This window comes from Homo sapiens, chromosome 4 (genome assembly GCF_000001405.40).
Source record: "Homo sapiens chromosome 4, GRCh38.p14 Primary Assembly".
NCBI lineage: Eukaryota > Metazoa > Chordata > Mammalia > Primates > Hominidae > Homo > Homo sapiens.
In genome coordinates, this window is record NC_000004.12 from 113,106,774 (window position 1) to 113,127,076 (window position 20,303).

The following is a 20,303-nucleotide window of genomic DNA, read 5'->3' on the forward strand; positions in this document are numbered from 1 at the left end:
AATATTTCATAGGTGTGCCAAGCTGACAGATTGGTTGACTCTGTACTCTTTTATTTTATTCCTGTAACTGGGCCAGTTTCTGCCCTTAACTAAAACTGGATCAATTATAGGAGTGAAATAAAGGTCCATCTCCTGCCTATTTATTACTTTGCTTTGGTAATAAATCTATTTTTAAAAGAACCTATTACAGAGACTTCCATTTGGAATTATGCATACTTGGTGTCAAATGGTGATTGTTCTTTGTTGTGTTTTTCCATTCGAAACAAAGCTTTTGTGAGGCGTCCCTTTATTCTGATTAAGGCCTGGTGTAAATCTTTGATAATGAAGCCCATTAACAAAAATGACTATAAATAGCTCTACTTCTATCAGGGATATTAAATACTTTCTCAAGCACACATGCTCACTGATTTTAAGACTCATTCCACAGTGTTCCAAGTTGCGTGTTAGATTTTTTTTTTCTTGAGACGAAGTTTTGCTCTGTTGCCCAGGTTGGAGTGCAGTAGCGTGATAACGGCTCACTGCAACCTCAGTCTCCCAGGTTTAAACGATTCTCCTGCCTCAGCCTCCCAAATAGCTGGGATTACAGGCACATGCCACCATGCCTGGCTAATTTTTGTATTTTTAGTAGAGATGGGGTTTTGCCATGTTGGCCATGCAGGTCTTGAACTCCTGACCTCAGGTGATCTACCCACTTTGGCCTCCCAAAGTGCTGGGATTATAGGCATGAGCCACCGCGCCCAGCCAGTGTTGGATTTTATCATTACCAAATAGTCATAAAGAGTGTGAGCTTATTAATGATGCTGACCATTCAAAGTGATCAGCAATCTCTTTGCACACACACTATCTCTGGGGATGAGTCTATCTATTTCCAGTCCATCCATCTTGTTTTGGTCTTGTAAATCTACTTTATTATCTTATGCTTTTATATTCATGTTTTGTTTCAGAACAATAATCATAGTAGTATCATTTATTGATCTGTTACCAGTGTTTTACATGTGCTATTTCACTTGGTTCTGTTAGGTAGATATTGTCTTCATTCATGTGAAATGAGATTGAAGCCCATAAAGGTGAAGTAATGCACCCAACATAGAACCCAAATTAGGATTCAAAAACCCAAATTTGATGCCCTCTACCACATAAAGAAGCTTTATTTCATAGCAGTAGCAAAACCATTATTTGATCAGTTAATAAAAAAGATGGTTAAAGTGGAGAAAAAACTGATATATGCGTAGTTTAAACATTTTATTTCAACTTGAAACACGTAAGTTGGACATTCGTTTACCAATGATCTGATGTCCAGTCAAGACCTTTTATTTAAGTATATTTTATTTAAGAAGTTTCCAGAATTTGGGGTTTAGCTTTGTGTTTTTAAAAATAAACAATACCTATTTGTAGGCATTGTCTCACTGGTTTGTTATCTGTTAAAGGCAGTCAGTAATTAAAGACACTTGCAAAACAATCTGATTGTAGAACTTCTAAATATTTTCGAAGCTTCCTCCCCAATCTTTTTGATTTGTTTCAGACATACCCATAATTCAATAGCAATATTGTAGAAATTCCTTTTTATTAAGTTCTTACAAAGCATGCATCGTAATTTTCATAAAGCAATAATTTTTGGAACTCATTTTTATTAGATAATCTAAGATTTATTTAAATTATGTAATTGCAATAGCAACTACAATAGGATCAAAAGGTTTGGGATAAACATACTTGACTCTTGCTGAGCATATAACTTTACTAGTGGGAGAAGAATGTACACATATTATAGAATGGCTAGTAAGCTACAAGCTTTTAATGTATGGTGGGCATCAGTCAGCATTTATAGAGAAAATGGAAACATTTTCTTAAGTAAAGTTTCGCTGAGAGAGCTTCTACTCTGTTTTTCAAGAAATTAGGGGAGAGAGAGAATTTACTCCTTGTCTGTGAAGACATGGGATTTAAGCTATGTGTATCACAGGACTTGAAACAGAAAAAAAAACTCTACAGATGTTTTTATTTTACAAAGTTAGTTGGGTTAAATATTGCCCAAAGTTTCTACCTGAACCATCAAGTTTGGTTTTCATAAAAAGCTTTTAATTTGTGAGAAAAATGTTATTTGAATTCTTTCAATTACATCTTATCAGATTTTGGTGATGCTTTTGAATTCTCAAATGTTTCAAGTTGCAATTCTCTGTTAAGATTTATTACATCATTATCAAAACTTTGTATTAAGAAAAGAGTATATCTTTCTGAAGTCCCGTAGTACATATTGTTTCTGCCATTCATTTGATGCTTATATTTCTCATTTGCTAACATTTATAATCATCTGTTCTTACGCAAAGCAGTATGTCTTGGTGGAGAGGTAGTGGAAAAAAACAAAAAACACCCATGAAATAAATCTGTACTCAAAGAATTCAGCTTGCTTAACTTCCCAACTAAGTGATACTACTTTGGGGAACCATAACTGCTTTCCTTACTCCATCCCTTTTGTTTCACAGTGCCTTGTTCACAGCTCAATTATTTGAAGTCTTTATAGATCTGTTTCTCTCTTTTGTTGTTTCTGCTGTACACCTGGTTGTCTTTGACATTACTTCTGCCAGTCTTTGTGGTCACAAGTGACTTGTGGAGCATTTTAAACCAAGTTCGAAGCTTGAGTTTTGTTGTAAGTCTCGGCAATAAAACCCAGGTTATAAATCTGCTGAAGGTCTCGTTATTTATTATTCTGCTCTTACCCTTAGAGTATTGCTTTTTGAGGTCTCAGATGACTGTGAAGAGGGCTCCCTATTGGACTGTGCACCTTGTGTGGACATTGACCTTCGATATCTGCCTTCTTGCCTGGAACTTTTCAAAATAAAAGCTCAAGTTTGCAGGGAAATGCACTTAGGAAACAAAAGCAATTTCCCTGCTTGCTTATCTTTCAGTGGTTCCATTTTCCTTCAGTTTTGCCTAGCAATTCCTTATTATCATTCCAGCTGTTTGTTGCTTTTAAGAAGTTATTTATATTTTATCCAGTATTTCTAGTTTGTTTCAGCAGTAGTGTTTGTCTGAATACCTGGCTCCTATTAGCTGGAAACACATGCTGTTCATACAGGTGCTTAGTGTTTTGGTTGTTGATGTGATTTAGAAGTGATATAAAGACCATGTCACACAAAAAAGCTCAAACATGCTTTACCTCTGAAAATGTGGTTTCTAAAGAAGATTTTATTTAATTTTATACTTAGGTTTCCATATTTATGGAATATGAGTTTGCACGAGTGGGCATAAAATGAAAAGTGCTGGTCATGCTGTTATTAGTCCGTTCTCATACTGCTAATAAATATATACCAGAGACTGGGTAATTTATAAAGGAAAGGGAGATTTAATGGACTCACAGTTCCAAATAGCTGGGGAGGCCTCACAATCATGGTGGAAGGCGAAGGAGGAGCAAAGGCACATCTTACCTGGCCGCAGGCAAGAGAGTGTGTGCAGGGGAACTGCCCTTTATAAAATCATGGGATCTTGTGAGTCTTACTCACTATCATGAGAACAGCATGGGAGAAACCTACCCCATGATTCAATTACTTCCCACTGGGTCCCTCCCATGACACGTGGGGATTATGGGAGCTACAATTCAAGATGAGATTTGGGTGGTCAAACCGTATCTCATGCCTAAAGCAAGAAACAAGGAATCCCTAGCAATAGATTTTATTTGCAGTTTAGTTAAACAACAGGTGCAAGCATATCTTATGTCTGTTGGTAAAGAAGTGAAAATGGATCACAGAAGCTCTTTCAGAGGGAAAAAAAGAGTTAAATATGATAGCATCCAGAAGCATTAATAATCCAGATGTTTACAACTTCATAAAAATTGCCAAGTACGCATGGATACAATAGTCATTTTCACCAGGTGAAAAATGACCAGATGGTAGCACTTCAATTCTCTGGTGCCAACAATGCAGCCACAGGGGGATTGTTTTTTGAGTGGCTGTGCTATTGAAACATGTTTTATAAGTATTCTATATTTATCGTAGTATCTGCTGCACAGGACTTTACTAGCCATAGAATTGGTTGTTGGAATTGCTGAAAGTGTTTATGTTTGTGTTTTAACAATAAGGGCTTTGGGTTGGGAAACTGGAGACCTGACACTTTATCAGTGATTTCATGTTTGATCTATAGTTGATTTGGATGTGCTCTAATATTACATTTTGCCATTTTTCTATTGTTAATTTTGAAAAATAAGAAAATATTTTTGCTAATTATTTACTGGCCAAGCATACTGAATTCATGGTCTATAAAAAGTACAGAATAATAGCCCAGTCATTTAAAATCACATTTACAGGCTTTTAAGCATTATTAATTTATATGTAAATACAAAATTATTTTGTGAAAATTTAAGATACACATGGCTTAAATTTAGAGTCACATAAAGAATAACAATTAAAAATAGTTCTGTCCCAATTAGGAGAAATCAATCTTTTTCTTTTGCAAATAGTCTAATTAAAATATTCTATCAAAGGTTTATCCAAATGACACATCTAGTTGACACTGTATAAATGTAAAACTTACAGGTATTGATCAAACTTACCAATAAAATTGTTTCCCTTGAGATGCTAAAGCTGTTAACATATAATTTCTGAGTAAAAATATAATTACTAAAGAAAACAACAAATTTCTTCATGGATAAAGGCACGACATAAATGAGCACACAAAAGCATCCTCAGTGACCTTGAGGGTTAAGAGGCTTGAGATTGAATTTTCACATTTTAACCACAATTCAGTGCTTTTCATTTGACCAAAGTAAAAGGGCTAAGAAATATACCCAGAGCTTTTATAAAAAGCTGTTACAAACCAAAAGGGGAAGTTATATGTGTTTTAAAACACGGCAATAAATAGAGGAGTTAGATATTAACTGTAGTGTTCCAATCCTTTAATAGACTATGAGGATTTCTTATCCAAAATCAGTATATTTTTTGGAAAAAAAACCTTGTGAGCAATAGAATAAAATATCATTTATGAGAAGAAAGCAGCCCTGAGAAGCCATTTGAAGATATTAGTTTCAAACTTGGGCTAAGCATTTGAAGATTTTGAAGCAGCTTTCTATCAAGATGTGAATATTAGTAATTGCAGTCACTGTAGATTATACAAAGTGACTGAGGTGTTCCAGGAAGGCTGAAAAGAAACACTTCTATGGCTGGATTTTCATATCCATGAGGACAAGGGTTTTGTCATTTTTGTTACCAGATCCCCAGTGCTTCCTGGCTGGCTCATAGTAGGCCTTTAGTAACTGTGTTTGATAAGAAGATACAACCATAAAAAGAAGCTGTGTATGCTAATAAGATGGGGACAATAAGAAAGTTTTTATTTTAAATAAAGGATATTTTAAAAGGATAATTTTAAGTTCAATCCCTAGGCTTTCAGTTTAAGATACTATTATAGTAAATTAAAAGAATGATTTTAACATCCTGGGGCTTTTCTGATTCTGGAATAAATTTCTTTATTTTCTGTCAAAGAGAGCACACAAAATACATTTGTTTAGGAAGTTCTAGTGAGGGGATTTTTTCATCAGAAGAGTTTTCACAACTAGCAAATCCAGCCTGTTTACACAGGCAGACTCCACAAGCTGGGCTGTTGCACACTCATCTTTGTCCATTTGGGAATGAGTGATTGAGGCTGGAGTGGGGTTGGGAGGATGCAGGGGGAGACAGAATGTGTATGGAAATGTCTTTTGCTTCTGAACTGTGGCTTTTTCAGTGTTCCCTTCTCTGTACCTTTCCCTTCCCTCTGCCCACTGCAGTGTGGCTGCTGCCTGTAATCCCCAGACTTCCTCTGTCATAATAAAGGGAGGTCTGTGGTGACAGAATGGTCACTATTTATGACCTACACTTTCTGCAGCTCTATCTTCTTTATGTCAAGGGGTGTCCCGAGGGTAGCTTTTCATTCCTTGTCTGTTGGCCATTGTTACTAGCTAGAAATTTTCTGTGAAACTTCAGAAGTGTTATGAGCTTGAGAGGCATACACTTGGGGGGTCTTGAGACTGCTTCTACATCTCCTTCTCAGCCTATGAAAACCGCCTGTTTTGATTTGGAGCTGGAGTGTCCTTGTTTCCTTTCCTCAGGCAGGAGTAGAAGGAAGATATCCTTTGGGCATTCTCATTTTAGCCAAATCATCTCCTTGTGGAAACATTCTTATCACAAGAAAGTAGGATCTATTATATTATGAGCAAGCTTTTCTTGGTAATTTTGCATTATCAAATTGGCTTTTGGGTTTGGCTTCAGGTAAAACAAATTGAGAGTGCTATGCCATTGGACTCACTTACTCAGTTTGCTTTTCCTTACCTCGATCACTCATTAGTCCCAAAAAACAGAGGAAGCCTCAACTATGGATTAACACCATGAACTTGATTAGAATAATGAACTCTTGGCACATAGTTCAAACATAGTTCAAGTGAGCACATTCTTTTTTTTTTTTCCCTGATTAGGTGATGTTTTAACTGTCTTTGTAGTGCATCTGCTTCTCTTTCCACTTAGCACCCATACCACATTTGTGGTAGAGTGACGATATATGCTGTTCAATTGCATAGCTGCTTCTCCTGGGCAGGGCTAGGGAAAGTGAAGGGGGAGATTAAGTTGCATGTGGCTAGCTCAGTTGTTATTAAACGCTGCCTGACTGATGCCTGATGTCTGCAGAGGATTTTCTTTGGAATTTGATCAATGGAGTGCTGGACAGTGAGGACAGCAAATGGCCATTTTATCTCCTGTCTTTAAAATAAAATATGCCCTCTCTGAAGGACAGTCTATGCTGGCTCTCAAGTTTAAATGTGAACGGACAGTGTGCTCCTTACCTTTGAAGGCAGACACAAGTTTATCCCATTGATGGTCATGATGCTTTGTGGAAGGAATCAGCTTTTGTTACGAGCTCAAAATTCAGCCAGAATTATATCTCTGCTGGAGGTTTGATGGGAAGAGCCTTTTAATGTGGTGCATGCATCATTTCAATGGCTGTGAGCTCCTGGAATTGGAACCTGGTGCCTTGTCTGTGCAGAGGTCAGCTGGTGAGTATGAGCTACTCTCTTTCCTCAGAGAACTGATACCAATTATTTTCCATTCAAATAGAAATCATAGTTAAGTTTGAGCAACACAAGTATACAAGAAGGAAAGATTTTAAAAACATCAATTTCTCATCAGCTTACTACTGAATAAGCTAGTTATAAAGAGGCAAAGTTACCACTCTGTGTAGGAATGTCTAATCTGCCTAGCTTTCTTAAAAGGATTATGTGCTACTATCTCCTATGGGAGCAATCTGTTCCTTAATTAAGGAAAAGAGAAATAAAAATCACACACTACGAATGGACTTGTGATGAGTTTATTTTGTTTACAAATATTTATACTAATTGTCTGGGATTTCCTGTTTTGTGATTTGAATAGTAAGAGCCCTCAATGAGGGCTTTTTGAGTGGGTTCCTTTTCCGAGGTGAGTTGATTTAAGAGCCCTGAACCTTGGCCCTCCTGCCCTTGAGAGCCATCCCAAGGAAAGATACCTGGAAAAAATTATTTGGCTTCTAGTGTCCTCATCTATAAAAACATGGTGACTCTGCTTCTCTGTCACACTTAAAGATATTATGAGAAAATGTAAGCAAAGTAGTGTAATTATGATTCTTAAAGATGTGGCAATCACAGTGCTTTGTGCAATGCGTATGTCGGTCAATCTAACATCTAACAAACTATCACCTGGTTCATTACCTTTTCTTTATGAGACAAAGATAAAAAGAGCTGTCATACTTGTTTATAGAAAGTAAAAGAGTCTTAGAGACTAAGACTCTGTTAACCATCCCTAAATTTTTTTTTACTTATTAAGTTGAAGTTTAAAAAATGTGTAAAAATGTATAATTTTCCTGGCATTAGAAAACAACATAATGAAATTAATAACTGTTTGATTTTACAAGAGAGTCTATATTGAGCTCATTAAAAGCCAATGAAATAAAAGGTTTTTTTTGACAACAGGAACTCCTCACTTTCTTCTCTATCTGTGCTGATGATTTTTCACTTTCTTAATGAGGTTTCTAGAAGAGGAGAGGATATTTTGATAGTGTATCAGCAGATTCTAAAGGGGCAGTGGAAAGGTCTTGTGCCAGAAGAAGCTGGAGTCACCCTCACAACAGGAAAACCATTGCAGGAGGCTTAGCCACATTTCCTTGGGACTCATGCTATTAAGCTAAATGGACATCCACCAATCAAGTAAGACTTGCTTGTTGCGAACATTTTTTTAAAAGTAGAAGGAAAGAAAATGCCAGATGGCATTCAGAACACCCTGTGCTCTAGTCTTGCTGCTTTCCCTGAACCACCTTCTTTCCTAATGACTGCTTTGACACCACAACAGCTGATTCTCCAGAGTACTTCAGAGGACAAAATGTTTGAGGTATGCTATGTCAAGTGGTAGACGGTGACTCCCCTGGCCAAGGAGATAGAAGAATCCTCCCCACATCCACACATTATCTTTGCAGAAAGCCTGAATGACTATGTGTATTTCTCTGTAAATATGTAAAAGGTTTTTCAGACAAGGGAGTTTGAAGGGCTTAGATACTAATGAAGCTGATTTGTTTTTATTTTTGTTTTTTTGGAACATGAATTTTCAGCTGTTCAGATCAGAGAAAGCTAATGCTCCCCATATATGATAAAAACTGCTCCCTTCTCTCCCTTCCTCTACCCTCTGTAAGTTGACTGACCATCATATCAACAATACAACACTGATCCATGCCATGGTGATTACTGTTTTCTTTGACTTTCGAATCAGATTAAGTGCTAGGTTCTCTGTACTACTGTGGAATGCATTTTGCTTGCTTATGGGATATTTTATTAATCTTAGTGCTTTCAACTCAGTTTAGGTAAAAGGAAAAATGATAAATTATGTTATATAAACTATAACATGTACCATCCACATTAGTATTTTCCCTCCTAGAAGAGTTGCTCTCTTACTATCTTTATGTAGTGCAAGAAATGAGACTTTACGTTCTTCATTTATGGAAGCAGATATGTCATAAGGGTTAGGATACAAAAACATATCATTTTCTAGGAGAGCATTTTTAATGTTATTTTACTCTTTTCCTAACAATAGCATATATGTAGACTCAGATTATATTGTTTTACTATCAATGATTATAATAGTGAAAACCCTTCTCCTAAAATGCAACAGTTGTGTGTATTGGGAAGGAACGTCCATAGTCCTCTATATACAATATAGTGGTATGATTCTGTCTCCAGCTAAGAATGAATAACTAAGAAGTGAGTGCCATCCTTGGCATCCTATTAGACCTCGATAAAACTATGGCAGTATAGGTAATTGGAATACTATAGAGAACTTCATCTTCTTGAGTTAACAGCTTGTATCCTCTTTCCTCTTTCATTGAGCCTCCCTATTGGGTGTATATACAGCAACATTCAGAAATACTAATCCTGCTTTACTTCATCACATTGCTTTTCAAGTAAATTTGCATTTAACAAAAGCCTTTGATAATTAATAATGAGTACCTATGTGCCCTCTTTGAGTGATAAAGAGTGGCTTGGGTGGTGCCTGCTTTCCTCTTTCCCATTCTCTATCCCTGCCTTCCTCTCCCTCTTTTGAGCTCCCCGCTCTTTCTCCCAGGAAAACCTCGCTGAGCCCAGATTATATTGTTTGTTCACTGACAGCTCTTTTCTATGCTTAATGCAGCTCCCTAATTCAGCCTCACGTGGATCTGTAAATGGTACAGTGAGGACCCGGCTACTTCTAGCCCTTCCCAGACCTGCTCACCCCTGTATTGCCACGGCAGTGGCAAGTAACTCCAACTGTGCTCCTCTTCTCCCAAAACAGCAACGTCGATTCTTTACTTTAAATGAACCTTGGAGAAGGAAAGGGCTGTGAGATGAAAAAGGCAGGAATTCATGTCATGTGCTACAGCAGAGCAGCCGTAGCAACGGCAGTAACAGCAGTAGCACGGCAGCAGCAGCAGCAGCAGCAGCAGAGTCCTTTAGCGAGACTGCACCATTTTCTTCTCACCCTGCATAGAGGTGTGGTTGGAAGCAGCAATAAACTACCCACCCCCTAGCAGTTTCACAGAGGTGGCCTCTTCCTGGCTCCAGTCAGAAGACACAGTCTGTCTGGAGGAGTCCCCAAAGACTGTTCCAATTGGTGATGTGTGTCTAAGGATGGCTTTTTCAACTAGTAGGATGCTTCTCTGCACTTGCAGCCACCCAACTGCTGAAGAGCTGGAAGTCTAGTGCTCCGCCTTCCCCCGGGACCATTTCTGAGTGTGGGTGCACACCTATGCCTGTGTGCGTGCAGGTGTGTGCTGCTGGAGGTCTCGGTTTGGGACCTTAGTTCATTGTAGTGAGTTGTGGGTGCTGCAGAGGCTGGAGCAAGATTATGACCTAGCTCGGGGGCGGAGTGGATTATCTTGTGAGTGTTCTGGCTGCCAGCCATTGCCCTGGTGGGGAAAATCACATCTCCATAGAGCTCTGAAATCACCTGGATTGCTGGGGAGTGGAAACTGATCCTCTGCTACTGCTTCTGCTGATTTCCTCTGCAAAATGGCTCACGCTGCTGCTTCTATTAAAAAAGTTCGAGAGGCTGATCTGGATGAAAAGGAAAAAAATCTTGAGAGAGACAGAAAAAAACAACGGAAAATCCCCAGAGAACGTATGGAACGAAAAAGAAAGGTATGAGGAGCATCCTTTTAACCCTCTTTCTCTGCAGCTCTGTGTAGCACCATCAGCCTCAGAACTGGCAACTTCATCCTCCCTTCCTTCCATCATTCCCCTGCACCATTTCTAAGCTCAGTTTGCAGCCTAGAGCTCATGCCTACATTTGCTGCATTGGGAGGAGATGCTTGAGCAGGGTGAATTTCCTTTGCTTTGACCAAGCAAGGCAAAAATGCCTCCACTTCATTTTTCTTTTTTTTTGTCTCAATTATCTTTATTTAATCTCAAAGCTAGGTGCTTTATCTCTTCAGGCTACTCTTAGTACTGGGCACAGAAGAAGGAAGGGGTTGATTTACGGTTGGAGGGTTAAAGTATTTTCTTCTTCTTGTTCCTCATCTCTATTACTCTATCTTTAGCAGTGTGTCTTCTCACTGACTGTATATTTGATGTAGACCTCTAGTTAAGAATAAACTAAAGATTTTATGTGCTCTCTTTTTCCCTCCTGGAGGTTTACACCCGGTTTTCACTTCTTAGTGAAGCTGCACTAAGAATATTGGTGCAGTGAGCTGTGTCTCTGCATTTTTAAAATTTTAATTAATTTTTTTGTTTTCTATCATTAATCCTTTAATTTTCTTTTCTGAATATGGCAATGAAATCAAAACAACCAAGGTTAAACAAGGGATGAAATGTTGATTCCTTTTACATTGAACTATTGTTTCTTTCTCTTAAAATATTGTTTTCCTTTATAATAGAAATAATCTTACAACTTGATGGAACTGAAATACTCATTTAGTCAGTGATCTAGATCTATAAAGAAAGACCTCTGTAAATGTTTTAATTAACAAAGTAGGTCACTGAATAATTTCAGAAGATGATAAATGGCTTATTACATTAGCAGAGCATTAAAATAGTGGTTTGTACACAAGCTGTTGTTAAACATAGCTCTGGGATTAGGGATGCAATGGGGATCCATATACTTAATAATCCATATGCTCAATGGACTCTTTTTTTCTTCCATAATAGATATGTTTACCTTTCAATTTGGGGGATGTTGTCTTTGCCTCACTTTTGGAAAGACACTTGAGAACCAACATTGAGTTGAGATCTTACTGCATAGGGATTCATTGCATTTCAGTTTACTACTTATCTCACCACCAACTAGATCAAATGACTGTTACTAGGCTACAGAAATAAAATTAGCAGTATATAATGATTTCCCTTCTGGGGAAAACTTTCATACTGCTTGTCTGACCTTTAAAAGGCCGTGTTGTTTCAAGATTGCATTAATTCTTTTTTTTAGTATCAAAAGTATTATTAGCCATTTTGTGGAGGTCGACTTCCTTCTTGACAGCGACTGCAGTTCTGTTTCTAATGCTCTAAATGGAACATTATTGTATAAAGAATTTTCTGTGATTATATCTTTTTTATCTTTTGTTCTCCAAAACACAGTATATGATTTCTTGGCTAGCGGCCCTTGTCAGCATTCAGCTGTGACCTAGCAACTTTGCTTAGCTAGAGTACCATGCATACACCTGGAAAATCACTTGTTCTCACTCTGGTTTGTTTCTGTATCTAGTTGAATGTTTTTCCCTTTCCAAACCTTGATAAAAACAGAAAAACTGAAAAACTGTACTGTTAAAATAAAAGGTGCCAGTTGTTGTTGAGAATCTCAGTTGCTTGGATGCTTCATTGCTTTAGCTTGAATCCAGAACCATAGGCAAGATTATTGGTTAGTAATGTGGTCATATGACAGGATCATCTGGTCTTCACATGTAGATATTATATCTAAGCTAGAACCAGAGTAAATTAGGAAAATAAAGGCATAGCTAGTATTTGTCCTTGTTCCTCTTTTTTCATGTGCACCTATTGCTCCTCCTCCCTTTTCTACTGCAGATATTTACACAGCACAACAAACTTGCTAAAAGAGTGGGTGTGCTTTTTAGCTATATTATATTTATTTTCTAGATAGACAGTCCCTCCCCCAACCCCACCACACACACATAAGCACTGAACCAGTTTTCAATTTTCTTTTGAAAAAAAGAAATTTACCTCATCATCATACCTTAAGGTGTACATCATACCTTAAGGTGTACATACCTTCATGATAGTTCATGAAGAAATGAAAAAAAAATGGTAGCCTATTAGTGGCATTCTGGAATACCATCTGCAGAAAGTAATTTTAAAATTATCATCGTTTATTTGCTGATGCCACTTTATCATCATAAGGGAAAGCATCAGTTGTAGAGATGATTGAGTATATCATTTTCATATCCATTTGTAGTGCCTCTTACTAATGAAACTGTTTATTTGAAAAATTCAGATGAGATCCACCCCAATGCAGATAAAAGCCAATTATGGGGCTTGAAAGAAAATAAATAAGCTGATTTTGAAGGATTTTTACCAAGGTAAAGATATTGCACATTAAAATCAATTAAGCAGTCACATTTAATCTTTATTTTAATATTCTTTTGTAAACTTACTGTTAATTAAAAGAATATTTGTATTATTATTTTGTACTCCTTAAAACATTTAAAATTAATTTTAATTATTTGTAAACTTGAAACATGTTGCATACTTGACTATAACCCCTCTACCAAGTTGCCAGTGGTGTTGTATTAAAACAATATATACTAAGAGATCTACTTTCAACCTCATTATAAGCAGAACTTATCTTACTATAATATGTTCAGATTTCTTTGGGCTATACTCTGGTTAGCTAATATTTAAATATGGTATAGTACCGAATATCTATTGTATGTGTCATACTATGTAGAGCTAAAATAAAACTAAGCTTTAAACAAATAGGCAAAGATTAAGATGAGTTAAACTAATTTAGTATGTTTGCTGAAGAGTTCATTAATCTGGAATTTTACAAAAATCAGAATATCTCTATTCTAATTATTAGCTTATATTAGCAAGTAATTTCTTTGTATGTCCAGATTTTGCCAGTTTTTATGTTGGAATCTGAGAATTTTAGAATTGAGGAGGATGCCAACAAAAAATGGTTAAGTGATTTATCAGCGTTTTCACAAATTTGCGAGACTTAGTTCTAAAAAGTGATTTGAAGTTGAATATTCTTTCCACAACTAGATACTATTTCCCAACTGTACGTTTTTTAAAATTTGAAAAATACATAATTTTTAGAGAATGAGTAAACAAATTTATTCTTGAAAGTAAAACATATATTTATTTTATTTATTTTAAAACTTTATTATAAGTTCAGGGGTACATGTTCAGGATGTGCAGGTTTGTTACACAGGTAAATGTGTATCATGGGGGTTTGCTGTGCAGATTATTTCATCACCCAGGTGTTAAGCCTGGTACCAATTGGTGATTTTTCCTGATCCTGTCCCTCCTCCCAACCTGCATCCTCCAATAAGCCCCAGTGTGTTGTTCCCCTCAATGTGTCCATGTGTTCTCATCATTTAGTTCACACTTATAAGTAAGAACATAAAGTATATATTTAAATAATATTTATCACTTAAATTCAGGATCACCATAAATTTTCAAATAAATCAATATGTTCACCATTTCTCAGCACAGACAAACTATTGTCCAATCAATCATAATGTCTACAATACTCACTGGAATCATATGACTTAAAAGGCAAATGTATGACTAGTTCTTAACATCCTGATGCTTAAAACATTCTTTTTATTATTTTAATTTATACTATTAAAATGCCAGAGTTCACATTTTCTGAAAAAATATTTGTGATCATTTATTAAGTACCCATGTGGTCATGTATCTGACACTTTACACACATCGTGCTGTTAACCATGATAACAATCCTATATATTAGGTATTATTCTCTGGATTTCACAAACAAGGAAATTGCTTAATCACACACAAGTAGCATGTGGCAGAGTTGGGATTTGAATCCAGGTCTGTCTGGCTCTAAAGTTCATTGGAGAAAAAAAGTAATATTATTTCTTGGTCTTGTACCTACACTGGGTGTAGATTATAAGGAAATCACTTATTCCACCAATGCTTCAATTTCTTCACTTCTAAATTACCTTCCTACAGCTGAAAGAAATTTAAATACTGTGATAGTAAATTAAATGATGAATTTGAGGGGGAAATTATGTAAATTCGTGTTGGGATTCTATCAAAATTGCACCAAAATATTTCATGAGATTTCTTGGAAAATCAACTATTAGAAGTCAACATTTGCTCTTCAAATTGAGGTCAATTACTGGCAATTATAGACTATGATATATAATCATTTTTTGTCACAATTTTATTAGGACTTCAAGATGTATTTGCAAATCTACTTTTATTAAACTGATAGGTGATTTTGCATGGGATTAAGTAGAAAATTAAAAAAAAGCCTCCTTTTGAGTTGTTTTCATTTAATTTCACAGTAAAAGGTTCTGATTAGTTATTTGCTTTTAAAAATGTACACAGTTATTATCTTGGTGAGAACAAGACTTATTTCTAGGATAGGCTTTGGGGAAATCTCCCCCCCCACCACATTCTTCTTGTTCATTTGCTTATTTAATTGATAGCAATGATAATACTTATTGAGTATATATAATAAAGTTCTCATCAAGTTGTAACGGGACATGGAGCAATGAAGATTTTTAGAAGTTATATTAGTATTTTTTCTTAATTTAAAGTGTTTTATTTGCAAGTTGAGAGTGGAATGTATTCTATAACTTTGGAATTGTGTTATAAGAATGAGTTGAAAGTGAATTGTGTTATAAGAATGAGTTGAAAGTGTGTTATAAGAATGAGTTGAAAGTTGTGTTATAAGAATGAGTTGAAAGTGAAACATAGTGTAAAACTGAGCATGCTTTCCCTGGTGGTCTGTGGGTAAAGACTGCAGTGTAGGAGGAGATTGGACAGCCTAGTCATCCCTCTCATTTTTGAGCCTTCTGCTTGGGCACTCAGCAGCCTGTTTCTGAAGGGAAGTCCAACTACGGAAGTTGCAACACTTAGTCAAGAACCATGTATGCACAAAGATGTCTGGACACCAAACCAAATACACTGTGATTAAAAATACAAGTCACAGCCAGAATAACATGGCACTGTATAATGTGTTACATTCTAGAACTCTACAAACATGGGAAATCTGAGTCAACAGTTTTTAAAACCTGCATGGAATTGTCTTTATGTTAACTTCCCAGAACCCCTTCATCAGTATGTCAGTATTTCCAGAAACCACATTAACATAAAGTTGATTGGTGCTGTCTTGAGTTTTATCTGGACAGATGCTCTTCTTATGTCTTAGTGTCTACTTATATGTGAAAATTCAAAAGTTTTATTGGTTTGCTCTTCCCATTTTGAGTCTAAATAAAAATGTTCAGCCATATCTATTTAAATGTGGTAGTTTCCATAGAATCATTATTATTATTTAAAACCCATTATCTTTTTCTTTATCACTCCTCTGATTTCTCTTCTTAGCTCAGTTCACAAATCCTTTCTTGGCTAGAATCATTATCTTTAAATAAATGACTTGCATTATTAATGACACTCTTCACCAGCACCATAAAGCTGAGTTTTTATTATAAATAAATTTATATATTTATTAATTATAAAGAACTTCTTTTGACCATTGCATGGGTGACTAATAGCTTAGGTTTACAGCTGTCAAATTTGTGCAATTGTGGCAAAAATAGTCCCAATTGTATGGCTTGAGGTAAGTTTTAAGAAGACAGTTGAAAGAAAAAGAAAATTTTAATTGAAAAAAGCTACTATGAGGGATTGACTTATTTTTGGAATCTAAAATCTTATACACACTCAATGTAATTTTTTTCCTATTTTATTACATTAATCTGTGTTTATATAAATGTTTTAATCTTTAAAAAATCAGAATTAATTCTTTCGTTACCTTTATTATCAAACTTAATTTTATTAGTCCCCTTATTCACCAATTGATTAAAAATAATGATATTTACACTATATTTTGACATCATCATGAATACAGAAAATATTTTATAGAAAGATTTAAGAGTCAGTGAAAGTACAAGCAAGTTAAGACTTCTACTCATGCCATATTTAATGATCTACTTGTGTTTATATTTTTCCATTATGCCACTCTTTTTTATTTGTATTTCTCAAAATAATTTCTTCTTTACAATAGTCTCAGTCACAGAGACATTATATACTAAAATAAAGTGTAAAGAAGACTTTTCTCAAATTCTGGATTTCTGCATAAATTGCTAGTGAAGTCATCAGCTATTTGAGTGTGACCCTTTTGCTCCAAAGGTGAGCTGTGATTTTAAATGTTTATTGTGGAAAGTCTCAACAGAATCATCTGGTTCTATCCCATTCATAATAAGTCAGAATCCTGGGGTAGACTGGAAGGGAAAAGAGACCATAATCCATATATTTTTAAAGCTCCCTTGGTGATTCCAACCAGGGTTGGAAATGACTAGAATAAACATTTCCATTCCCCCACCAACCCCTACTCTACTCCATCTTGAAATTTCAAGCGATCGTAGATTTACTTCTAATAATCAGTATGACTCTAATTTTTTCATGTGTAGATAGGAGACACCCTGGCAACTTTCTGAAAGTTTAATAAGACTAATTGGTTTATGTAATAACCAATTAATTCTGAGCACAGAAAGGAGGAAACAAGTGTTTAAGAGATAAGTTGCAAGACTTCATGATCTGCAGTTTGACTAACTTTGCCCTAATGGAATAATCTTCAGGAAATAAGGTTGTGTGTAAATGACTTTTATGTAACTAAGCTCAAACAGGTGGAGAAGTTATCCAAGCTAAGTTTTTAAAGGAAGACCACTACATTGTGAATTTAAAATTATGTCTTAAACACGTTATGCTGTTTTGAAAGAACTCAAGTTAGTGTCCTAGGGATTTAATTGGTAGCTTAGCAGCCTTGGAGGCCTCAAACCTTTGGAGAGGTCAGCACTTCTAGGACTCCTAACACAAGTCAACAACTACCTTTTGTGTTTTGTACTTGACTTTGATAGATCTTTTCAAAATTATGTAATATGACATTAATTTAGTAAGAAAGAAGGAATAAGTAATTCATAGATGAGTTATCTCCCCTAATTCTTCAGATATTCTCTTTCAATACTCCTAACTCTTCAACTTCTCACAGTGCCAGGATCTTTTGTTTGGTTGGTTGGTCAGTTGTTCTGTTTCTGTTTTTGTTTTTTTCATGAAACTGCTCTCTCACTGTCTTTCTGGTTCACCACAGTTTCCAGAGCAGTCAGAAAGGGATTCCTTACTCAGTTGTACAGGATTCTGAAATGTACTTTTTAGCATGTACAGTTGGAATTCCTTCTTCCATGTTCCTTTACTTCATTAGCAACTTTGCCAGGGAAAACTCTTTTTTCTCTCATTAGAGTTTCATTTATATCCAACTTAGCCTTTTTCTAGAGAAATTATTTCATTGTATATCATTATTATGTTGCTTATCATAGGGGAACACCTCAACAGAAAACAATGTAAGTAGTATTAAGGAAGAGAATATGTGGGCTGGGTGTGGTGGCTCATGTCTGTAATCCCAGCACTTTGGGAGGCTGAGACGTGAGGAGAGCTTGAAGCCAGGAGTTGAAGACCAGGCCAGGCAGCATAGAGAGATCCCCATCTCTTTTAAAAAAAAATCAGAGATATGACAATCATTATAAACATGTATCTTAATCTAATCAATTTATTTGGTTAAGACTAATGGTGTTATTTCACATTAACCTATATTTCTTGGCTTTTTATATATTTTTGCATAGAGACTTATTAATTACCAATTTTAACTCACTTGTTTATAGTTTGTCTGTAAAAAAAGCCTTCAATTAAGACTGAAAATGACCTCTCTTTGTGTATTTGAATGTAATTAATGATGGTTTTTCCAAAAGTCTATTTTTTAGCGAAAAAACTTAATCTCTATGTTATTTTTTCATAAATAAATAATGTTAACCTCACAAACATGAATTCTAATAATCTACTTTACTTTTATTATTATAAAGATCAAATATGATTTTTGCGTTTGAAACAAAGTTTAGCCGATAACCCTTTCAAGACATTCAGCAGGATAAGAGGTGGATGTGAAATCTAAGATTATAAAAAACAGGCAACATACCAGAAAGCTGTTTACTAAGTTAATAAAGTATATTTATACAAAATTACCAGATACTTCTAAAGCTCCATAAAAACAAATTCAGGAGACCTCTGCTTAATTCTGTCTACTCACTACAACCTTGGGTAAACAAATGACCTCAGTTTTTGCATCTATAAAATGATAAGGATCTGAGATCTGTTAGAATTCTTCCTGTCTTTATGCTTCTGTGTCATTTTAATTGTTTCTTTGCTTCCCTTTATTATTATAAATGATTAAGACAGTTGGTAGAATTTCCAGGTTTTTCTTCATTTAAGATAAATTTTTTTTGAGCTGACACTATGTCGTAGACAGAGTACCTTTACCCAAGGAGCTCATAGACCTCCTTGGGTGATAGGAACTTTTCACAGATAATAAGAATGAAATGTTAGTTGTGCCACTATGTTAGAATTGAGATTGTCTATTTTTGTTTATATGACGCAAGTTTTCTTTAATAGGTGTTACCTGGGAGATGAAATAATGGAAGGAAATAGTTCCTGTTGTGGTGCATGAAATTTTATGGAAGTTATTAAGACTGGGTATATACAAAATGAAGTAATCATATAAAGCTCTATGGTTGTTTTGTATTTCAGATACTGATTTGAGCCATTTTGAAGGAAGAAATTTATTGTGGTTCCCTGAGAACCACAGTTGATTTCTCCTGAAGTTTATTCTCACTTTTCTTTTAGGTACTCTGTACACTGATAATACCAGGAGTTAGAAATTCACAGAGAAATATCATCATTGTTTAATTAATCATTTTACAAAGATCTGATGGCAGTAATGATAGCTGCCTTTAAATTGCAGGGTGCTGTAATAAACAAAAGTCCACAGTAAACGCTTAAACCTCAGCAATTCACAAACCTTTCAATTGTACAGCTTAGTGAAAATAAATCTCCTGAGTTCTTCTACAGGTAGTAGTACAAACTTCCTTATTTATGGCTCCTGCCTCAAACTGGGCCAGAATGCTTAATTAAACCATGTCACATCCTAAAATGACTGAAACCAATAAAATGTAAGTGGAACAGGTTACCTGGAAACAGTAACTTCTTTGAGGACAGAGGTTACTTAGGAAATGAGCTTTCGTTCAGGGTGGTCACCTACAAAACATGGGGCTTCACTGTGGGCTCCGAGGGACAGGAATCAAAGCCTGGGTGTGGGTGGGAGAGAGAAAAGCCATCTGTGAAATCACACGTTTCCATTACTGGGGAGAAGGGAGACAACAAAGGACCCAGTAGCAGATGCCAATTCTCTGACTACAAACACATTATCGAATATAAGGGCCCTTGTATATAACATCAAGCACTCATACTCAGTCTTTCAACACAAGGGACAATATTTTAGAACTTTCAGCTTTCATACTAGAAAAGAGAACCAAAATATAAAATAAGACTTTGTAATATGCTAATATGACAAATATTTTGCCATTGAAGGAAACTTGATGATTAAGACTAATTCCCATTAATCACTGTAATTGGCCTTCACATGAGGGCCTTCTGGGTTATGTATTCTTTAGTAAGTTGTATAAGAGCATCTGAAACAATTTAGTCACTCCAATGATCTTTAAAAGTTTGTAAAACTTTATTTTTGATCAAGAAATTCAGAGAATGATGC

General features: G+C 35.6%; 1 protein-coding gene and 1 non-coding gene across 65 annotated transcripts in view; both read left to right on the forward strand.

The window, feature by feature from the left end:
- ANK2 (ankyrin 2) overlaps positions 1-20,303 on the forward strand; it is a 678,115-nt gene that overhangs the window by 401,152 nt on the left and 256,660 nt on the right. For 7 of the 64 annotated variants that reach the window (NM_001386152.1, NM_001354237.2, NM_001354230.2 and 4 more), the window contains exon 1: positions 10,236-10,645. The exons of the other annotated variants lie outside the window; for them this stretch is intronic. In NM_001386152.1, the coding sequence (NP_001373081.1) occupies positions 10,517-10,645 (129 nt within the window). In that variant the 5' untranslated portion in view covers positions 10,236-10,516. Of the gene's footprint in view, positions 1-10,235; positions 10,646-20,303 lie in introns of those variants that run through there. 64 annotated transcript variants of the gene reach the window in all.
- Positions 90-182, forward strand: MIR1243 (microRNA 1243). The gene has a single exon (NR_031641.1). It is a non-coding gene; the product is annotated as a microRNA 1243 (primary transcript).